Source organism: Homo sapiens, chromosome 5, assembly GCF_000001405.40.
Source record: "Homo sapiens chromosome 5, GRCh38.p14 Primary Assembly".
NCBI classification, from domain to species: Eukaryota; Metazoa; Chordata; class Mammalia; order Primates; family Hominidae; genus Homo; species Homo sapiens.
The window spans coordinates 87,065,669-87,087,660 of NC_000005.10; the positions used below are offsets into that span (position 1 = coordinate 87,065,669).

The following is a 21,992-nucleotide window of genomic DNA, read 5'->3' on the forward strand; positions in this document are numbered from 1 at the left end:
TACAAATAATGAAAAAGCTTGAAATGTGCAAATTACTAAAATGTCACCCAGACAATAAGTGAGCACATACTGTTGGAAAAATGATGCTTATAGACTTGCTTGATGCAGGGTTGCCACAAACCTTCAATCTGGAAAAAAATGCAATATCTGCAAAACACAGTAAAGCAAAGCACAATAAAATGAGGCATGCCTGTACAAAATCAATACAAGGCAATATAAAGAAAAAATATCAAAAACAAAAAGAACACAGAAGAAAAATGTGACTAAGGAGAAAAAAAAATCAAATAATAATACATTCATTAAATCATATTGTGAAGCTGTAATAATTAAAACAGGAGGTAGTGACACGAGTAGACAGATAGATGAACAGATTAGTAAATTCAGAAGCTGACCCAAAGACATATGTGAATTTAGTATATGGCAAAGATGTCATCTCAAGTCAGCATGAAAAAGAGGTACTGTTTAATAAATGGTGTTAAAGCAGCTAGGAAAACATCCAAAAAATGTTTACATCAAATCCATACTTCACACCATATACCAAGATAAATTTCAAATAGAGCAAAAGTTTCAATTCTTACCAAACACTGCTAGAAACAAAACTTAATAATGTGTACATACTTCCATCATTGGCCATCTATGAGGATATTTGATGCCCCAGCAATTGATAATTTCAACACTTTTAATAATTGCAAATCAAATGAGTAGAAATATGACACCTTGTTTTACATTTGCTATTCTCTGGTTACTGCAGTTTAAATATATTTTAATGTGTTTATTGACCATTTGAATTCCCTCTTTTGTGAATTTGCCTGTTTGAATCTTTGTCTGCTTTTTTATTTTGTTTTATTTGGTTGTTTGTCTTTTTCATATTGATTATTTTAGGATTCCTTTTTACTTTCTAGAAAGCAGTCCAAGTTTGCTTTGTGTGAGGCAATTAGTTTCTTCTATATCATTACTTATCTTTTAATTGTATATATGGTATATTCTGATGTGCACCTGTTTTTAATTTTGATGGAGTCAAGTTGTCATTCTTTTCCTTTGTGATTTTTCTTTTTTGTGTCTTGTCGAGGAGGACTTCCTGACCTCAAGGTCAGAAAGATGTTCTATATTGTCTACAAAGAAGGAGAAGAAAACAGAGAGGAGAAAGAGAAAGGAAAAGAAAATATTTAATTTTTATAGTATATATTTGATTCCTATAGTATAGCAAAGCACATAAGAAAAATAAAAGGCAAATGACAAACTAAGGATAATATCTGTAATGTATATCACAGGCCAATCTTTTTTTTTTTTTTTTTTTTTTTTTGAGACAGAGTTTCCCTCTTGTTGCCCAGGCTGGTGCGATGTTAGCTCACTGTAGCTGTTCAAGCCATTCTCCTGTCTCAACCTCCTAAGTAGCTGGGATTATAGGCGCTACCACACCTGGCTGATTTCTGTATTTTTAGTAGAGACAGGATTTCACCATGTTGGCCAGGCTGATCTCGAACTCCTGACCTTAGGTCATCCACCAGCCTCAGCCTCCCAAAGGGCTGGGATTACAGGCGTGAGCCACCTTTCCCAGCCCCAATCTTTATAATATAAAAACAATACTGGAAAGCCACAAGAATATATAGCAACACAAAAGACAACTGTCAAAATACATTATCAGTTGATAATGATAGAACTGTTGATAGAAAATGAAATACAAAAAACTTTAATTGGATAATAGAAGAAATACTAATTTAGAATAAGCTATGTTTCACCTAACAGATTAACAAAAACCCTTAAATTTTGACAACAGCCCATTGACAAGGCAATGGAAAAACAGATACTTTCAGTTATTGCTGATGAGAATATAAATTGGCACGAGGCCTATGGAAGGCAATTTGAAAACTTTTTCTAAATTACAAATATATACAACTGTTTATTCAGCAGTTCTATTTCTGACAATGTATATTAAACTTACATATATGAAAATAAACAATATGCATTGCAGCACTGTGAGAGCAAAAAACTGGACTATTTTAAATTATCAACAGGGATCCGATTAGAAAAATTATATCTGTACAACAGCATCCGACGCTGCTGTAAAAAAAGAAAGAGGAAGCTTTCCATATACTGATACATAAAGATCTGTGAAATGCATTGTATGTTTTTTGTTTGGGGTTTTTTAATGAAAATTAAGATGTACAATGTGGTGTTTTGATATACATACTGAGCTGATTACTACAGTCAAGCTAATTAATATATCCATCTTTTAGTATAGTTGTCTTTTCTCTGTGTGTGGGAGAGTGGTAAGAACACTTAAGATCTACTCTGTTAGCAAATTTCAAGTGTACAATACAGTATTAACTATTATGTTGTGCACTGCAGCATTATTCACGATTACCAAGATATGAATAAATTATTATACACACACACACGTGGAATATTATTCAGCCTTAAAAAAGAAGGATAGCCTGCCATTTGCAACAACGTGGATGAACCTGTGGAATATTACGCTAAGTGAAATAAGCCCACACAAAAAAATGCTGCATGATCTCACTTATAGGTGGAATCTTAAAAAGTTGAATTTATAGAAACAGAGAGTTGAATGGTGGTTACCAGGGATGGAGAAGTGGGGGGAATGGGGAGGCCCTTGTCAAGGGGCACAAAGTTCCAGTTGTATAGGATGAATAAATTCTAAAGGCCTACTATACAGCATGATGGCTCTAGTTAATAATAATATTGTATATGGGACCTGTATTGTTAATTTAACAAAGCAACTTGTGGAACAAATGGGTAGGAGACAGAGTTTTGTGCTAGGCAGGGAAAGAATATATCATTTATTGGTTTGTATTTGCCTGAAGAAACTCTTGGAGAACTCAAAATGAGCTAATTACAGTGGTTACCAATGTGTGAAAAAGGGACAGGAGGTAAATGAGGAAAAATATAATGAGGAAAGGGAGGCTTTGCAGACTACACATATTTACATTTTTAAAAATTTTTTAGGCCGGGTGTGGTGGCTCACACCTGTAATCCCAGCACTTTGGGAGGCCGAGGCAGGCGGATCATGAGGTCACAAGATCAAGACCATCCTGGCTAACACGGTGAAACTCCATCTCTACTGAAAATACAAAACATTAGCCAGGCGTGGTGGTGGGCGCCTGTAGTCCCAGCTACTTGGGAGACTGAGGCAGGAGAATGGCCTGAACCCAGGAGGCAGAGCTTGCAGTGAGTCGAGATCATGCCACTGCACTCCAACCTGGGCAACAGAGTGAGACTCTGTCTCAAAAAAAAAAAAAATCTGAAACATTGTATTGCCTATTCAACTGATTTAATTTAAAAATTAATTTATTTTAAAACAACTAAACTCAATAATATTAATTTAGTTCAAAAAATAGAAGCCAAACAATAAAGGTGATACCTTTGGCTATCTTTCTCCCTGTCTCAGAGTTTGAAAAATTGTAGAGATTCAGTGGAGAGGTGGTCTTCTGATTAAAGTTCTAGTATGATGCTATTTTTATGTGTCAAAACAAATTAAGTTTCCTATGATGTTTCAGGACAGGAATTATAAATTCAAAATGTTTTTTCTAAAGGATACTATAAAGGGATGAAACAATTTATGGTAAGCTGAAGCAGTGAAGATATTCCATGCAATACAAAAATATCAACTTCAAATTAGTCTGAAGATCACATATAAAGGGAAGAAAACAACTTTACCACTAAATGATCAACCGACAACATGAAGCAGAATATAATGAAATGCATAACATTTTATTATCACATCTATTTTTTGCAATTCAGAAAAACCATAAAGGATATCTTCCAAATCTGTAATTTAACACATAACACTGTAACACATTTCTAAAGCAAGTTTTAAAATGAGTCAGCCTTATAAGGCTGAGTGACATTTTGTCACAGATTTAAAGGAAAATCCTGTCTCTGTTAAGATCTTATAATACATATATAATAAAGAAACGCACAGAATAAGGTTAGACAAATTTGAGAATTTTGTTATCACCTTAACATCAGGGTGTTAATGCATATGTAACCACAAGTATTAGAACTATTTCTTCCATTATATCAGATGACAAGAAAGGTGCCTGAAAATTGTCTTATTTGTTCAGGTAAATTAAATGATGTCAGATCAATGAATGATGTGCTTATCATTATAGAATCTAGATGTTCAGTGTATCATGGGCTAAAACAACATTTGTAATGGTGTGAAAATGAAATACTTCAACATCAAAAAGATTCATTTCCCAGAGAGGACTTATTTTTATAGTTATTCTTTTTCTGTTGGACTAGCTGGCTTATGATTCTTGTCTGTGGAAAAAGAACCTGAAAAAAATAACTGTCACTGTAATTAAGCACAGCAAAGGTAGAGAAACAAAGGGAGCATTCAAAACGGATAGAGGGGTGGGGAGGGATGTCACTGGGGAACATTCTTGTGTTCGTTAGTTCACCTGAAACTAACTCTTAAAGTTGAAGAACTAAATATTGTTCTCATAGAAGCACATACTTGGTGTACAAGAAGGAATGACCACAGGATGGGGCCAAAGGCGAAGACAGTTGAAACTCAATGAGCTGAAAAACTTACTATAAAGGGAAAAAAGGAAAGGGACATTCTCAAGACATTTTACTACAGATCCTGTGGAAGTAATGCCATTTAGTCTTTATTGACTTTTCCTTAAACTTTGGCATTTTTACACTTTTTTTTAACTATTTAATTTCAGCAGGTGAGGGAAGAGCAGGAATGCCAAACTCCTGGTGTCTCCCTCAGCACAGGTCCTGCTCCATAAAGGTTTTTGGCCTTGAAAGGTCTGTGGCTCCACCCAGGGCTGCAAGGATGGATGTCAACTTTGGGCAGAACAAGAGAAACAGGCCCAGGAATGGGAAAGGGTTATGACCACTAACCCTGCTACCATATGGTCAGATATTTTTTATTCATGAAGAGAAGTTAAAAATCTATATCTCATATATTCTTGATATTTAAATGTTTTTTAAAAGTTGTTCACAGCCTGAGGGTAGCTAGTTTGCAACCCGTGTGCTTTAATAGTAGTAACAGGTAACCCTTATGCAAAACTCCCTATGCACCAGGGGTTGTTCTAAGTATTTTATATATATAACCTCATTTCAAACTCCTAATAACCACTTGAGGTAAGACCTTTTTATCCCCATATTTAAGATGAGTAAACTGAGGCACAAACAAGTCTATAGCTTGCCCCAGGTGGCACAGCTGGCAAATGGCAGAGGTAGGACTTGAACCTACAGAGTCCGCTCCAGAATTCATACTCTCAAACACAAAGATGTTTCTATAAGAAAATTTCCCCTTCAAAGAGCCAGTTATAAATATTTGTTCAATTATGGAACTAAATCAGCTAACCCTGGCCCTATGCCTACTGATGTATTTCAGGTAAATATTTTTCTGAAATTATTTTTTAAATTTTTGAGAAATTAATGAGCCATCAGTGTTTCTGAAGGGCCCAATTTGAAAGAGAAGTTATTTTGAAAAACTTAAGCTTACTATGTATTATTTTCTAGCTGTAAAACATCATTTTGAAAAAATATATATTTTTATGTTTTAGCTACCATGTGTCATTTTGCTTTTGAATAACTTTCTTATTGAAAATACTGAACTGATACCAGAAGCCAACTGAAATAATGACTTCTAAGTTTTATTTGAAGATTGAATTCACACTGTTTAAACATTTCTTTTTTTTTCTTTTTTTTTTTTTTTCTTTTTGAGACAGGGTCTCTCACTCCATCGCCCAGGCTGGGGTGCAGTGGCACAATTACGGCTCATTGTAGCCTCTGCCTCCCAGGCTCAGATGGTCCTCCTTCCTCAGCCTCCTGAGTAGCTGGTACTACAGGCATGCATAACCATCCAGCTAATTTTTGGTTTTTTTTGTAGAGACATGGTTTCTCCGTGTTGCCCAGGCTGGTCGAACTTCCGGGCTCAAGTTATCTACCAACCTCAGCCTCCCAAAGGGCTGGGATTACAAGTGTGAGCCATCACACCTGGACCATAAATACCTTTTTCAAAAACTAGGAGCTCATCTTATATTACACTTTAACTCTTCAAAATTTTGCACTTTATTATCTAATTTTATATTCTTATCAATTTAAAATTAGTCAATTTATATATGAAAAACAAAGGGGCTAGAGACTGCTTACTCCTTGTGTGAAAAATGTGGAACTGTCTGGTATGCACCGTGTGGATCTACTGGCACCTCACTATGTGTGGAAGTCCTTTCAATTTATTTGTTTCACCTGGGAAGTTTAGTAGCTACTTTGAGAAATGGAATTACCACATCATCCTTTGAGGAGAGCATAATGTAAAGTTGTCTCAAAACCTGCATTCAACTTGGCATTCAAAGTCATCAAGTCAGACTTCAACAATTCTAAGAATAACTATTAACGTCAGCATTTCTGGGCATTTTCCTTCCATTCCTAAATTGTTAAAACAGAGATCGAGATCATTATCTCAAACATGTTTATCATGAAGTTCAGATAATATGAAATACTGTATAATAATAGTATGTTGCCTCAGAGACATATTTAATTGGGGACTAAAATGTTTGCGTATATTGAGTATATTACTTTTAGTATACAGCGACAATGGCTCATATAATGAAAACGATCATCATTGTGATAGAGGGCTCTGAATAAATTCTGTTGATCTTTTCTTAATACTATACAGGCCAGGCTAGTCTCTATAATTTTTTATTTTTATTATTTTTTTTGAGACATATTTCTCACTCTGTCGCCCAGACTGGAGTGCAGTGGTGTGATCTTGGCTCACTGCAAACTCCGCCTCGCGAGTTCAAGCAATTCTCTGCCTCAGCCTCCCGAGTAGCTGGGATTACAGGCGCCAATGACCACGCCCAGCTAATTTTTGTATTTTTAGTAGAGACGGGGTTTCACCATCTTGGCCAGGCTGGTCTTGAACTCCTGATCTAGTAATCCACCCTCCTTGGCCTCCCAAAGTGTTGAGATTACAGTCATGAGCCAGGGTGCCCGGCCTAGTCTCTACATTTTGCAGTAGGAATTTAATTGTGTGCATTTGTGTGAGGTAATGCAATATACGTAACATATTTAATATTCTCTCTCTGTCTCTTTCTACACACACACACATACACGCGCGCGCGCACACACACACACACACACACACACACATATATCATACAAAAATGTCCACATGTTATATTGGTATATTTTTCAAAGTAAATTTATAGTGAACATTTTTCCCATCTTTTATTATCTCACCTGGATGCTTTAAAACAGCCAAAAACTAAAATACAATATCCATGTTGCAATCTGGTTATGCTTTGGAAGGATAAACATCTATAATAACCTTAAAATATTTTAAAATTATATAAAATAGGTGAATTATTACACTAGCAGCAGTAAAATTTCTTACCAGAAAAGCTTGATCTAACAGTTGAAAATGCCATTAGCCTTCATGGAAGACAAGAACATGCTCTCTACTTTGCCAACAAACATACAATATAAGTTTTCTTCTACAAAATAAATTCATATTTTGAAAAGCCATACTTCTGGAGCTTTGATTTACATTTCTGATGGTGGCGAATTAGGAAATTAGACTAAGCACATTAATGAATCTAGAGGATAGTCATTTTCAGTCCAATAATGATATGAAAGCAGTACCCTACCAAAAGATTATACCTAACTTCACATAAAACTTCCGATATTCTAGAAGATGGCACCAACATCTGCAACAGTAATAATAGTAGTGATCCTTTATTCAGCCTTAGTAATTATGTGCAAACTTTATATGCAGTTCATAACTGGCAATGGAAGTAAGACAGCATTTGTATAGTGTAAGATAGCAACCTGTCCATGACTGCCTTGGTCACAAAATCTCTGTGTCCTCTGCAGTTCCAGGATGAATATGAGTAACTGCAGTTGTGTATTTTACGCTAGTGAAAAACATTAAAATTGATGAAAAGGCAAATACAATGTGCTTAACTGATCCCTCCCCTCAAAAATCTAACCCTTGTGTCATTTTTTAAAATGGTTAAGAAATAGGTTGACTTTCTGTACAGCATGAAAATTTCTTTGGCTCAAGCCTCCACTAGAAAACCTAAGACAAGGTCAGGTGCAGTGGCTCATGCCTGTAATCCCAACACTTTGGGAGGCCGAGGCAGGCGGATCACGAGGTCAAGAGATCAAGACCATCCTGGCTAACATGGTGAAACCCTGTCTCTACTCAAAACACAAAAAATTAGCCAGGCGTGGTGGCGGGCACCTGTAGTCCCAGCTACTCAGGAGGTTGAGGCAGGAGAATTGCTTGAACCTGGGAGGTGGAGGTTGCAGTGAGCCGAGGTCGTGCCACTGCACTCCAGCCTGGGTGACAGTGCGAGACTCGGTCTCAAAAAAAAAAAAAAAAAAAAAAAAAACCTAAGACAAATCCTACTGGATAACACTGTCCTTCAACACATGCAAACCATGTGGTGACAAAGCAAAAATAAAAAAATCACTATTTGAAAGTGACCCCAATCAAGGCACCCAGACTCACTGGTTACTCACAGTTTTTTTTCTTGCCCTTCCGGTGGTGTACACTGTTTTCAGAAGGTTGACTATTCACTCTCCAATGGCATAAGCCTGTTGCATCATATCTACAGGTGTTACCCTGTAGATAACTTGTATCCGTACCTTTCAGAGATGTTAACTGTAAGGAAGAAACCTAAAAAATTCATTCTGATAGAATGACCCTCCATCAGGTCCAATTCTTTCTAAAGAAACCTCTCTTGTAGAGAGTGCTTGTGTGGAAAAGAAACAACTACATTCAGTGTATGCAGAAGTATGATCCTCCATACTTACTCTGAGCAGTCTACTTTTTCACTATTAAAGCTCCATCTGTACCTGATATTGCCTATAAGGTCACCACTATCATCTCCAAATTCAGACTTTTAGCTCGGTACAGCTCCAAATCCTCCTTAGAATAAGCAAGAGTGATTCCCTGAAGTGGCACCGTGAAACGATGTCAAAGCATTAATGTTCCTCATTAACATAAGATACTGGGGAACATTATTAAAGACAAACACATATGAACAACAAAAGGTAGTTCTCTGCCCCAGAATTTCGACTCCCTCCCTTACTCCATGCAATTTCAGCCAGTAAAGAGCTTGGCTTGCTTTTTACAAGCAGGGTCTCCCTCTATCGCCCAGGCTGGGGTGCAATGGTGCAACCATAGTTCACTGCAGCCACAAACTCCTGGGCTCAAATGATCCTCCCACCTCAGCCTCCCAAGTAGCTAGAACTACAGACACATGCCACCATGCCCAGCTAATTTTTTAAAAAAAAAACTTTTTGTAGACACAGAGTCTCACTATGTTGCCCAGGCTGGTCTCATACTCTTGGCCTCATGCAATCCTCCTGCTCAGCCTCCCAAAGCACTGGGATTATAGGTGTGAGCCACTCCACCTGGCATAGCTGGACATTTTTACTGTGCAAATACTAAATATTTGAGTCACCCCTACTACTTTCTCCTATGACCTGGACGATGCCAGCACTGAAAGGTAAGTGAGAAGTTTGAGGAAGTCACTGAAAACTCAGTAGACATTCAGGCCTTCATCTGCTTTTTCTTCCAATTGAGCTGGATCCATGGAGACAGAGTGAACAGCATTGGACAGGAAGCCAAACTTAGCTAGGTAGCACAGAGGTCTTAGATAAAGCAAACAAAGCAGGGCTTTGTGAGGTGACAAAAAGGAAATGAGCAAAGTCACACCCTAAGCCCATCCTCCAGGCAGTCCAGTGAGCAGGAAACAAAGCCACAAAACCAATGGCCCCAGTGTTGAGAATATACCGTACAGGTGGTCAAAAGGAAGTTCAAGTTAGGTTCTGCCTTTTAACCCACTTCAATGTATTCTAATTGCCTACAGTTGTACTCTAAGAAAATAAGGGAAGGGACTTCTTACTTTTAAGCTTATATTAAACATCACATATTCATATACTGAAGCTCTTTTTAAAAATAAAATGAGTCTAATCTTACAAAATGTTTTCTTATATTAACAAAGAAATCTATGAGTAATTGCTAACAGTGCTATTTATTTTAGAAACTGAAAAGAAAAAAAAAATGAAAGACAACTTAAAGATTTACATTCTGCCCAGATTCTCCTTGTCACTTAGCAAGGATAAACCCAAGCTTTCAGATGTTAAACATTTTTCCTATTCTCAAAATGCAGAGAGGCCACTGTTGATAATGAGGACCATGATGGCATTTTAAACCAGAATACTTATTGAACACCTAATAATACCTAGACAATAAGAAAATTACATCTAATCTAAACACTAAGGACAATACTATCAATGTTGAGTAGAGCAAAGAAATAGAATATTTACAAACAATTAAAAGTTAAATTATGGAATAAATATTTTTGTCATAGACATTTGGGAAAAATATTGAGTGTTTATGTGTGTGTGCATGTGTGCGTGTGTTTGTGTACAGTCATGTACTGCATAATGACATTTTAGTCAATAACAGACTACATACACAACAGTGGCCCCATAAGATTATAGATCTGAAAAATTCCTATCCCCTAGTGACCCTGTAGCTGTCAAAATGTTGTAGCACAACACATTACTCATGAGATCATCATGATGCTGGTATAAACAAACCTACTGTGCTGCCAGTCATGTAATAGCATAGCACATACAGTATGGACAGTACATAACACCTGATAATAAATGACTGTGTTATTGGTTTATATATTTACTATGCTAAACTTATCATTACTTTAGAGTGTATTTCTTCCGCTTATTAAAAAATAAGTTTAAGTGGATAACAGCCTCAGGCTGATCCTTCAGAAGGAATGCCTTCCAGAAAAACGCATTTATTTAGGAATGCTTTCCAGGAAAAGGCATTTTTGTCATAGGAGAAAAATCTATGGGTCATAACATAGGACATGACAGTTTCATGCGGGCTATTGCCCCTGAAGGCCTTCCAGGACCTTCTACATGAAGGGGTTATTGCCCCCGGAAGGCCTTCAGGGGCAATATGTTCCAGGACAACATGAAGGTCCCGGAAGGCCTTCAGGGGCAATATGTCCCAGGACAACAGGTAGAAGTGGTAAACAGTGGTATTTTCCACCAGCATAGGCCCAGGCCAAGATGTGTGTTTGTGTCTACATTTTTAGCAAAATAGTTATAAAATAAAAGAAAATTAAAAATAGAAAAGGTACGTGGAATAGGGATGTCAAGATACAAAGGATATAAAGAAAATATTTTTGTACAGCTGCACAATGTATTTGTGTTTAAGTGTTATTATGAAATAGTCAAAAGGTTTAAAACCATTTAAAAGTTTATAAACTAAAAAAGTTACAGTAAGCTAAGGTTATTAAAGAAAGAAAACTTTTTAAATAAATTTAGAGTTACCTAAACGTACATTGTTTATAAAGTTTACAGTAGCGTACAATAATGTCCTAGGCCTTCACATTCACTCACTCACTCACACCATTCACTCACTACTCACTCAGGGAGTGACTCATCCAGAGCAACTTGCAGTCCTGCAAGCTCTGTTCATGGTAAGTGCCCTAAACAGGTGGACCACTTTAAAAACCTTTTGTATCATATTTTTACTATGCCTTTTCTATGTTTAGATACACAAATACTATTGTATTATAATTACCTATAGTATTGAATTCTATATTACAATTATATACTGTATTACAATTAACTATGGTATAGTACCATTACTATTGTAATACAGTACATAATTGTAATATAGTATTCAGTACTATACGTAATTGTAATACAATAGTATTTGTGTATTTAAACACAGAAAAGGTATAGTAAAATGCTGTACCTTTTTATTAATATGTCGTACAGGTTTGTAGCCTAGGAGCAATAGGCTATACCATATAGCCTATATGTGTATAGACTATGCCATCTAGGTTTATGTAAATATACTCTATGATACTCATACAAAAATGAAATTGCCTAATGACTAATTTCTCAGAACATATTCCCCATCATTAAGTGATCCATTACTCTCTCTATATATAGTACAAAACTATATGTACTCTATATATATACTGCTTAAGTATATAGTACACAGTCATGTATCACTTAATGATGGGATATATATCATCATATGTATATACAGATGGCCCCCAGTGATAATGATTTAACTTATAATTTTTTGACTTTTTGATGATACAAAAGCAATGTTTATTCAGTAGAAACTCTACTTCAAGTACCCATACAATCATTCTGATTTTCACTTTCAGAACAGTATTCAATAAATTATATGAGATATTAGAATAGGCTTTGTGTTAGATTATTTTGCCCAACTGTAGACTAATTTAAGTGTTCTAAGCACATTTATGGTAGGCTAGGATGAGCTAGGATGTTTGATATGTTAGGTGTATTATTTTTTAAGATGGAGTCTCGCTCTGTTGCCCATGCTGGAGTGCAGTGGTATGATCTCGGCTCACTGCAACCTCACCTCCTGGATGCAAGCGATTCTCCTGCCTCAGCCTCCTGAGTAGCTGGGATTACAGGTGTGCATAATCACACCTGGCTAATTTTTGTATTTTTAGTAGAGATGGGGTTTCAGCATGTTGGTCAGGCTGGTCTCAAACTCCTGACCTCGTGATCTGCCCACCTCGGCCTCCCAAAGTGCTGGGATTACAGGTGTGAGCCACTGCGCCTGGCCATTAGGTGTGTTAAATGCATTTTCCTCTTACAATATTTTCAACGTAGGATAAATTTATTGGGATGCAGTCCCATCATAAGTGGAGGAGCATCTGTATATAGGATTGAGTGTCTAGGTAACGTTTCAGGAAGCACACAGGAAGATCTAATTGGTGTGTAAGCAAAGGATAGTAGCCAAGACATCCTGAATCCCCTGAAACAACTCATTCAAAATAAGAGAAATAGGAATGAGTATAGTATGTGTGAAGAGACAATGAGTGAAATTAATCTGGGCAAATTAGACTGCATAGATTAGGGAGCAATGAAAAATAAATCTATATAGGTCAGGTAGTCTCCGTCTTGTGTACATAGCCAAAAACTTGAAATTGATCTCAATACAACATTATAGGTTCTATAAGAGGAGCTGACACAATGGAAGACATGTTTTAGGACACTATGCAGGTTAGGTTTAGAAAAGGATGACTTAAGTCATGCATATTAGCCATAAGGCTAAATCAAATATTCAGACATGTTGTCATAAAGATATGACCAATAGGACACTTGAAAAGGAAATGAAAGGGTAAATTTGAGAAACACTGAAAAAGGAGGAAACCCAAGTCCCTAATAGACTGGATATGGAAGAGTAAAAGAACACATGAAAAGTGACTCCAACAATCCTTTCAAAATAGAGATGCCTACAGAATACTACCAGAACCTACTGAGAGAAATGGAGAGGTTGAGAAATGTGGCCTTGGATAAGAATGGGGTGGGACTTTATTTTTTTATTTACTATAATTTAAAGCAATGACTATGAGCACTCAATACTTCCCTAAATCGCCATCAATGGAAAAAAAAAAAAAAAACATTCTAGTTCTGAGGAGCTTTTAATGTAGTTTGCCAAAAACGCAATGCATACTGTTAAATGAAATGAAAAGAAACAAAACTAAATGTGAAAACTGTGATAATGAATTAAATGCTGGTTTTTCTTAATCACTGATATAACCTAAAATAAAGGACTAAGACAGGAAATGGGGGCAGTGGATTAAAATGTCACAAATGGAAAGCAGGATGCTGAATCTTGAGTTATGCATTGAGAGATTAGAGATAGAGAAGGAAGAACTGAGGTGGAGCCAGCCAGAGCAGAATCTGCTGAGCTATCACAGTGGGCCATGTGGCTAGGGAAGCTATGCAAGTAAATCTTAAGTGAAAGGAACAAGCAGTGGAAAAAAGCCTGCCTTAAAGCGAGATTTGCAACAACCAATCCTAGAATCACAAACTAGCGAATAGAGGCTACCTTGCAGTACTACTTTTCTTGTTTGCTAACACAAGTATTATCTTATACTTACTATGTGCTTACTCTAGTACTATTCTCCATAGAGATGGAGGTCTTGTCAACACTTTCTGTACTATTTTTTAAAATAATTACTGTATTCAACACTTTCCCTTGAGAAATGCCACTTGTTTGAGTTGCTATAGAAAGTTGTACACTTAAGAAAAAAATGTAATAAACTATAAGCGGGTAGAATTCTACTTTGAAACCTACACAGTTCTCTAAGTGGGGTGAGAGGAATAAAGGTAGTGGAGAACAAAGTACTTTCAAAAATTTGACCTACTCCCTGTAATCCCAGCACTTTGGGAGGCCGAGGCAGGCGGATCATTTGAGGTGAGGAGTTCAAGACTAGCCTGGCCAACATGGTAAAACCCTATTTCTACTAAAAATACAAAAATTATCCAGGTGGTGGTGGCACACACCTGTAATCCCAACTACTCAGGAGGCTGAGGCAGGAGAATCACTTGAGCTTGGGAGGCAGAAGTTGCAGTGAGCCAAGATTGTACCACTGCACTCCCGCCTGGGCGACAGAATGAAACTCCATCTCAAAAAAAAAAAAAAAAAAAAAGAAAACATTTAAGCTATTGTGCAAACCAGCACAGAAATAGAATTCTACAAAGTGAAAGGAATGAGCACATAGTTAATCAATAAAGGTGATGAGTTCTGCAAAACATAGAGTAGAGCTTCAGTACTAATATTTCAGGTTTGACAATAGCTAGTAACAATGTGGTCTCCACTGGAATACACAAATTAACTTTTTTAGTATTGTAGAGTGTATCACAATGTTTATGTTTGGAAAGTGCCTGAGTTCAAATCCTGGCTTCTCTACTCATTACTTTAAAGACAAGAAATTTATGTAATTGCTCTCTGTTTTCATCTGTGAAATGGAGGAAATATTATTATCTGCCTCATCTAGTTATTTTTAGGATTAAGATACTATTTGTGAATCACTTAGCACATTGACTGGCCCATAGCAGGAGCTTATTAAGTACAGTATAATTGCTATTAGGAGAATTTTTTTCTTCCCTGCCTAAATAAGGACTACTGGCAAATACCCAATTAATATTATTTCTGAAATGTAAATGATATGTATAGTAATATGTCCTTTGATTACTGGATTGCCAGTCACTGATATTTTGAGGTTCTTTCTAATTTCCTCTTTCAATCCCTTAGAAAGACTTTTTAGGCCTTATAGAGATTTAACATTTCCTTCAAACCATGAGTTGTTTGGCTATAATATATTCTACAAGTTTAACTGAGCACCTGCCATATTCCAGGAACTAAAGCAGTAATATTGCTTTACATATAATTTTTCTACATGTACCAAAACAACAAATTCCTTGGTAATAACCAAAAAGTTAATTTAAAATTAAAATGAATGGTTTAAAGAATGCAACTAAAAACTATAAAACTTTGTAAGACATTATTATCTCTTTCATTGTCAAGACACAAATTTACCTATTTAGATTTCTTTTAATAATATGTATGGAATTTCAGGTTATAACATCATAGCACCAACAAATAGATTATTACAGTGATATGTGTCTTAAGCAGTAAGACTGTATTGCATCAAGGAATTTCGCATATGTGGAAATATAAGCCACATAGGTCCATAATTTAAGAAATATCGAGACATTTATCAGTGCTTCCTTTCACCAGTATGACATTGTGCTATTGTTTGCATGTAAAATTATCAGCCACTAACAGTTTGAAAAACCCTTTCAGTTGTATCCAACAAAGAATTCCGTTGGAAAAGAAATGACATGCAAAGAATGTTCAGTATATATTGGATAGTAAGATGTAGGAATGAGAAAGTGTGGAAATGCATGAACTGTGATATATTTCCTTATTTATTCCTGTCACTTAAATTCCCCAACTATTCTCTCAAACTTAATAACAAAACATATCCTGACCTTTAACAACTTTCAAGGCTGAAATGTTAACCAACATTTTGCAAAATTCTTTAAACACTTCCTCTGGAAAACACACAGCTCAAAGTGCTAAAATTGTCTTCTATAATAACCACAACAGGATCGTAACAAACCTGCTTTTAAAAACCAAATAAAGTCTTCCGTGGGGGCGGTTCACCACTTCCCCTTTTTCAACATGCAGGAACTAATTTAGCTGAGAAGATAAAAGCAAGAGCTGCCTACATATGTACAAGGAAACTAGATCCTAGAACATAAAATTCCTCAGGGGCAGGGTGGTCTGGGCAGTTTTCAGTAAAAAGAGCTTTCTCTGACTTAGAATGTCACAAATGGAAGGAAAGGAGTCAGAAACATGTATGTATTTGCATTGAAGCAGACAGAAGAAGGGACAGAGGCACCCAAAACTACTTTCAGTTGTAACTATTTATGTGTTTTCCAATTATGTAATTTTATGCCCATTTTCAATTTAATGTCAATATAAAGATACTTAAGAATTCAAGACTAAGATGAAAGGCTACTCTCAAACCACCACAGTATCAGAAAAGTAAAGAGCCTAGAGTTTCTGTCAGAGGACCATACCCTCCCCTCCTTTCATAGGAAGAACTCATGAAATACTATCTCTTCCATAAACCCTTCACTCTTTCAGAAAGGTAGTCATTTATTACCATCCTAGGAGGTCTAAACATGCATGTAGGATGTGGTCTTCTCACCAGAAATCCCATAAAGTACATTCAGTTTGTTACTCATGTATAACTTCCCAACTTCATTTTTGTACTTATTCAACTTACTGGTTATCTACTTGATTATACGTCTGTGGGATATATTCAATGGACTCTGGTATATTATAAACTGCAAGAGTATAGGGCACAAGCCTCATTAGCTCAACATGTATATTTGCTAACAGTATCTTCATGTAATAAATGTTCTGTAGTTTTTAATATAATGACAAGAATAGAGGGATATACAAATACATAAAGGGTAGACTCTGGCCATCCATCCATCGCTCTTACTGAGAGGTTTTATGAGATTATCACCCAACAGCATGTGTCCCATCAGTTTTTCTATAGACTTTAAAAATTTTTTTTGCAAATATATGAGAGTCAAAAGCAATAAGTACTATTATCCTTTAAATACAAGAAAAAAATGTGCTCAAAATGTGTCTTCATTAGTGATGCTTACATGTTTGAATACTATTTGGTGACATTATTTACTCCTCTATTACTGTCACACAAATTATTTTTGAAAGGTGAAATTTAAGTACCAAATTAGGAGAAAATGTACATGCAAAATTTGATCATGTGAGAACATACATGCCTAGGCAGAAATAGGAAGTCAATTATGTATATAGTATGAATTTTCCCCTTTCTTAAAATTCCATATATATTCAGAACCCATGACTTCTTATTGACATATCAATGTAATATATCATCATATTTTCCTTCTATCTTCTTCATAAAATTTTTTCTGTACTGGATTCCATTGTATCAAATCATTGGGTTTTTTATCTATATATTTAATTTCCTCAGTACTCACTCTATAGAAATACATTTGTCTTTTAATTGGTGTTTTAGGGCATAATTTCTTAACCCAAGAAATTCTGGAATCTTTCAAACTGTGTCAGCTTTCTGTTACTGATATATCTATTTGGCTTTAGATATGAGTGTATGGCTTGCCTAAGTATTTTTGTACAGGTAAAAAAAGTGAAGAAAAAAAACACAATCAATTGGTTGTTTTATGCAGCTAAACAGCCACTTCAACTCTCCCATTCTGATAAAGGGGGTCATAAATTGTGACCCTCCACAATTTAAAACATGACAAAATCAGACTATTTTATTTGGTCTTAACATTTTTATTGTCTTGGCTACATCAATATCAATGACAATGAGAAAAATTGGGCAATTCTTTTCTTTCCCCAGTCTCATTCCTTCCCTGTTGTTGGAGGGAGACTTGCAGAGAAGTAAAGAACTGTCAACTTGGGCACCTTCCAGGGCTATAAAAGGGACCACCCATTAAAGCATAATGTTCTCCCTCTCTCATTCTGGTAAATTCTAAGCAAGAGAAAACACTTTCTACTCTGCACAAAAACAGGTCTTGCTGTTTTTTTAAATGGCCGCAAATTTTCCCTCTCCCCACATCCGTGTTTTTTTCTCGTAACTTTGTATATCCTCCCATTAATAGAGGTAGCCTTTTTCTCCACCCCTTAAATCTAGGTTGGCTGTTTGACTTGCGTTACTCAAGGATACTTACTTCAGCAAGTGACACAAGGAGAGGGTTGAAAAGTGCTTGCACTTTGGGACTTGCCTTCTGGTTGTTCTGGGAACCCATCAGCTGCCATGTATATAAGTCCTTCTGAATAAGCATGCTGGAGGCTGAGAATAGGCTTGCTGGAGGATGGGATGTGAACAGTTGTGCTAGCTGATGAGAGACATGTCACCTAGGCTGTCCTATCACCCCACATAACAAGGAGCTAACTACCTGACATGTGAAACTGTGCCCCAATCAAGCTGACAACTGACATCAGACACAGAAGTGAGAACCCATAAGCTGCAATCAGGAGCAAAGTGACCAGATAATCCCAGCCCAAATCACCAACACACAGAATCATAAGCTAAATAAACAGCTGTTTTAAGCCACTAAGTTTTGTTCTAGTTTGTAATTCAGTAAAAGCCTACTGGTACACTGACTCCACAGGAAGGAAACTGGGATTTGTTTATTAAAGAAAATTTATTTTTCAATATGGGTTTGAACTTTGCTACTCCTGATTGTTAATATTTGTCTTTGGGAGAGGTACATATGTTTGCTCTCAGGATGTTATAGTTTAATAAATGTCTGTAGTTCACATTTCCTTAATTGTCTAAAAGAAAATTCAGCATGGAAGAGGGTGGTTCCAAGATGGCCAAATAGGAACAGCTCCACTCTACAGCTCCCAACGTGAGCAACGCAGAAGATGTGTGATTTCTGCATTTCCAACTGAGGTACCGGGTTCATCTCACTGGGGCTTGTCAGACAGTGGGTGTAGGACAGTGGGTGCAGCCCAGTGAGCATGAGCGAAAGCAGGATGAGGCATCGCCTCACTTGGGAAGTGCAAGGGGTCAGAGAATTCCCTTTCCTAGCCAAGGGAAGCTGTGACAGATGGCACCTGGAAAATCGGGTCACTCCCACCCTAATACTGCACTTTTCCAACAGTCTTAGCAAACAGCACACCAGGAGATTATATCCTGCGCCTGGTTCAGAGGGTCCCATGCCCACAGATCCTCACTCATTGCTAGCACAGCAGTCTGAGATCAAACTGCAAGGCGGCAGCAAGCCTGGGTGAGGGGCATCCGCCATTGCTGAGGCTTGAGTAGGTAAACAAAGCGTCCAGGAAGCTTGAACTGGGTGGAGCCCACCGCAGCTCAAGGAGGACTGCCTGCCTCTGTAGACTCCACCTCTGGGGGCAGGGCATAGCCAAACAAAAGGGAGCAGAAACCTCTGCAGACTTAAATGTCCCTGTCTGACAGCTTTGAGGAGAGTAGTGGTTCTCCCAGCACGGAGTTTGAGATCTGAAAACAGTCAGACTGCCTCCTCAAGTGGTCCCTGACCCCCAAGTAGCCTAACTGGGAGGCACCCTCCAGTAGGGGCAGACTGACACCTCACATGGCCGGGTACCCCTCTGAGACGAAGCTTCCAGAGGAACGATCAGGCAGCAACATTTGATGTTCAGCAATATTTGCTGTTCTGCAGCCTCCACTGCTGGTACCCAGGCAAACAGTGTCTGGAGTGGACCTCCAGCAAACTCCAACAGATCTGCAGCTGAGGATCCTGACTGTTAGAAGGAAAACTAACAAACAAAAAGGACATCCACACCAAAACCCCATCTGTACGTCACCATCATCAAAGACCAAAGGTAGATAAAACCACAAAGATGGGGAAAAAACAGAGCAGAAAAGCTGAAAATTCTAAAAATCAGAGCACCTCTCCCCCTCCAAAGGAATGCAGCTCCTCACCAGCAACAGAACAAAGCTGGATGGAGAATGACTTTGACGAGTTGAGAGAAGACTTCAGTCTATCAAACCTCTCCGAGCTAAAGGAGGAAGTTCGAAACCATCACAAAGAAGCTAAAAACCTTGAAAAAAGATTAGATGAATGGCTAACTAGAATAACCAGTGTAGAGAAGTCCTTAAATGACCAGATGGAGCTGAAAACCATGACGTGAGAACTACATGATGAATGCACAAGCTTCAGTAGCCGATTCGATCAACTGGAAGAAAGGGTATCAGTGATTGAAGATCAAATGAATAAGATGAAACAAGAAGAGAAGTTTAGAGAAAAAAGAGGAAAAAGAAATGAACAAAGCCTCCAAGAAATATGGGACTATGTGAAAAGACCAAATCTACGTCTGATTGGTGTACCTGAAAGTGACGGAGAGAATTGAACCAAGCTGGAAAACACTCTGCAGGATATTATCCAGGAGTACTTCCCCAACCTAGCAAGGCAGGCCAACATTCAAATCAGGAAATACAGAGAATGCCACAAAGATATTCCCGAGAAGAGCAACTCCAAGATACATAATTGTCAGATTCACCAAAGTTGAAATGAAAGAAAAAATGTTAAGGGCAGTCAGAGAGAAAGGTCGGGTTATCCACAAAGGGAAGCCCATCAGAATAACAGTGGATCTCTTGGCAGAAACTCTACAAGCCAGAAGAGAATGGTGGCCAATATTCAACATTCTTAAAGAAAAGAATTTTCAACCCAGAATTTCATATCCAGCCAAATCAAGCTTCGTTAGTGAAGGAGAAATAAAATCCTTTACAGACAAGCAAATGCTGAAAGATTTTGTCACCACCAGGCCTGCTCTGCAAGAGCTCCTGAAGAAAGCATTAAACATGGAAAGGAACAACTGGTACCAGCCACTGCAAAAACATGCCAAACTGTAAAGATCTTCGATGCTAGGAAGCAACTGCATCAACTAATGAGCAAAATAACCAGCTAACATCATGACAGTATCAAATTCATACATAACAATATTAACCTTAAATGTAAATGGGCTAAATGCTCCAATTAAAAGACACAGACTGGCAAATTGGATAAAGAGTCAAGAGCCATCAGTGTGCTCTATTCAGGAGACCCATCTCAGGTGGAGAGACACACATAGGCTCAAAATAAACGGATGAAGGAAGATCTACCAAGCAAATGGAAAACAAAAAAAGGCAGGGGTTGCGATCCTAGTCTCTGATAAAATAGACTTTAAACCAACAAAGATCAAAATTGACAAAGAAGGCCATTACATAGTGGTAAAGGGATCAATTCAACAAGAAGAGCTAACTATCCTAAATATATATGCACCCAATACAGGAGTACCCAGATTCATAAAGCAAGTCCTTAGAGACCTACAGAGAGACTTAGACTCCCACACAATAATAATGGGAGACTTTAGCACCCCACTGTCAACATTAGACAGATCAACGAAACAGAAAGTTAACAAGGATATCCGGGAATTGAACTCAGCTCTGCACCAAGTGGACCTAATAGACATCTACAGAACTCTCCACCCCCAATCAACAAAATATACATTCTTCTTAGCACCACATCACACTTATTCCAAAATTGACCACATAGTTGGAAGTAAAGCACTCCTCAGCTAATGTAAAAGAACAGAAATTATAACAAACTATCTCTCAGACCACAGTGCAATCAAACTAGAACTCAGGGTTAAGAAACTCACTCAAAACTGCTCAACTACATGGAAACTGAACAACCTGCTCCTGAATGACTACTGGGTACATAACAAAACGAAGGCAGAAATAAAGATGTTCTTTGAAACCAGTGAGAACAAAGACACAACATACCAGAATCTCTGGGACACATTTAAAGCAGTGTGTAGAGGGAAATTTATAGCACTAAATGCCCACAAGAGAAAGCAGGAAAGATCTAAAATTGACACCCTAACATCACAATTAAAAGAACTAGAGAAGCAAGAGCAAACACATTCAAAAGCTAGCAGAAGACAAGAAATAACTAAGATCAGAGCAGAACTGAAGGAGACAGAGACACAAAAAACCCTTCAAAAAATCAATGAATCCAGGAGCTGGTTTTTTGAAAAGTTGAACAAAATTGACAGACCGCTAGCAAGACTA

The 21,992-nt window shown here is 37.3% G+C and overlaps 2 long non-coding RNA genes across 4 annotated transcripts in view, besides 2 other annotated features; both read right to left on the reverse strand.

Moving 5' to 3' along the window:
- Window positions 1–21,992, reverse strand: part of MIR4280HG (MIR4280 host gene) — a 73,290-nt gene that overhangs the window by 16,763 nt on the left and 34,535 nt on the right. The gene's annotated exons all lie outside the window — the stretch shown is intronic.
- LOC105379065 (uncharacterized) lies at window positions 833–9,601 on the reverse strand. Of its 3 annotated transcripts, none has more exons than XR_948539.3 (3): window positions 9,481–9,601; window positions 8,512–8,653; window positions 833–1,112 (listed from the first exon to the last, which is right to left on the reverse strand). It is a non-coding gene; the product is annotated as an uncharacterized LOC105379065 (long non-coding RNA). The 3 variants fall into 3 exon arrangements; XR_948540.3 differs by having other exon boundaries at window positions 9,409–9,601; XR_948541.3 differs by lacking the exon at window positions 9,481–9,601 and adding an exon at window positions 8,806–9,195.
- Window positions 9,501–9,550: an enhancer, noted in NCBI's record as "active region_22748". NCBI's record gives its function as "activates an Ori minimal core promoter by ATAC-STARR-seq in GM12878 lymphoblastoid cells {active_cell/tissue: GM12878}" and the evidence as "EXISTENCE:reporter gene assay evidence [ECO:0000049][PMID:35858748]".
- Window positions 18,253–18,302: an enhancer, noted in NCBI's record as "active region_22749". NCBI's record gives its function as "activates an Ori minimal core promoter by ATAC-STARR-seq in GM12878 lymphoblastoid cells {active_cell/tissue: GM12878}" and the evidence as "EXISTENCE:reporter gene assay evidence [ECO:0000049][PMID:35858748]".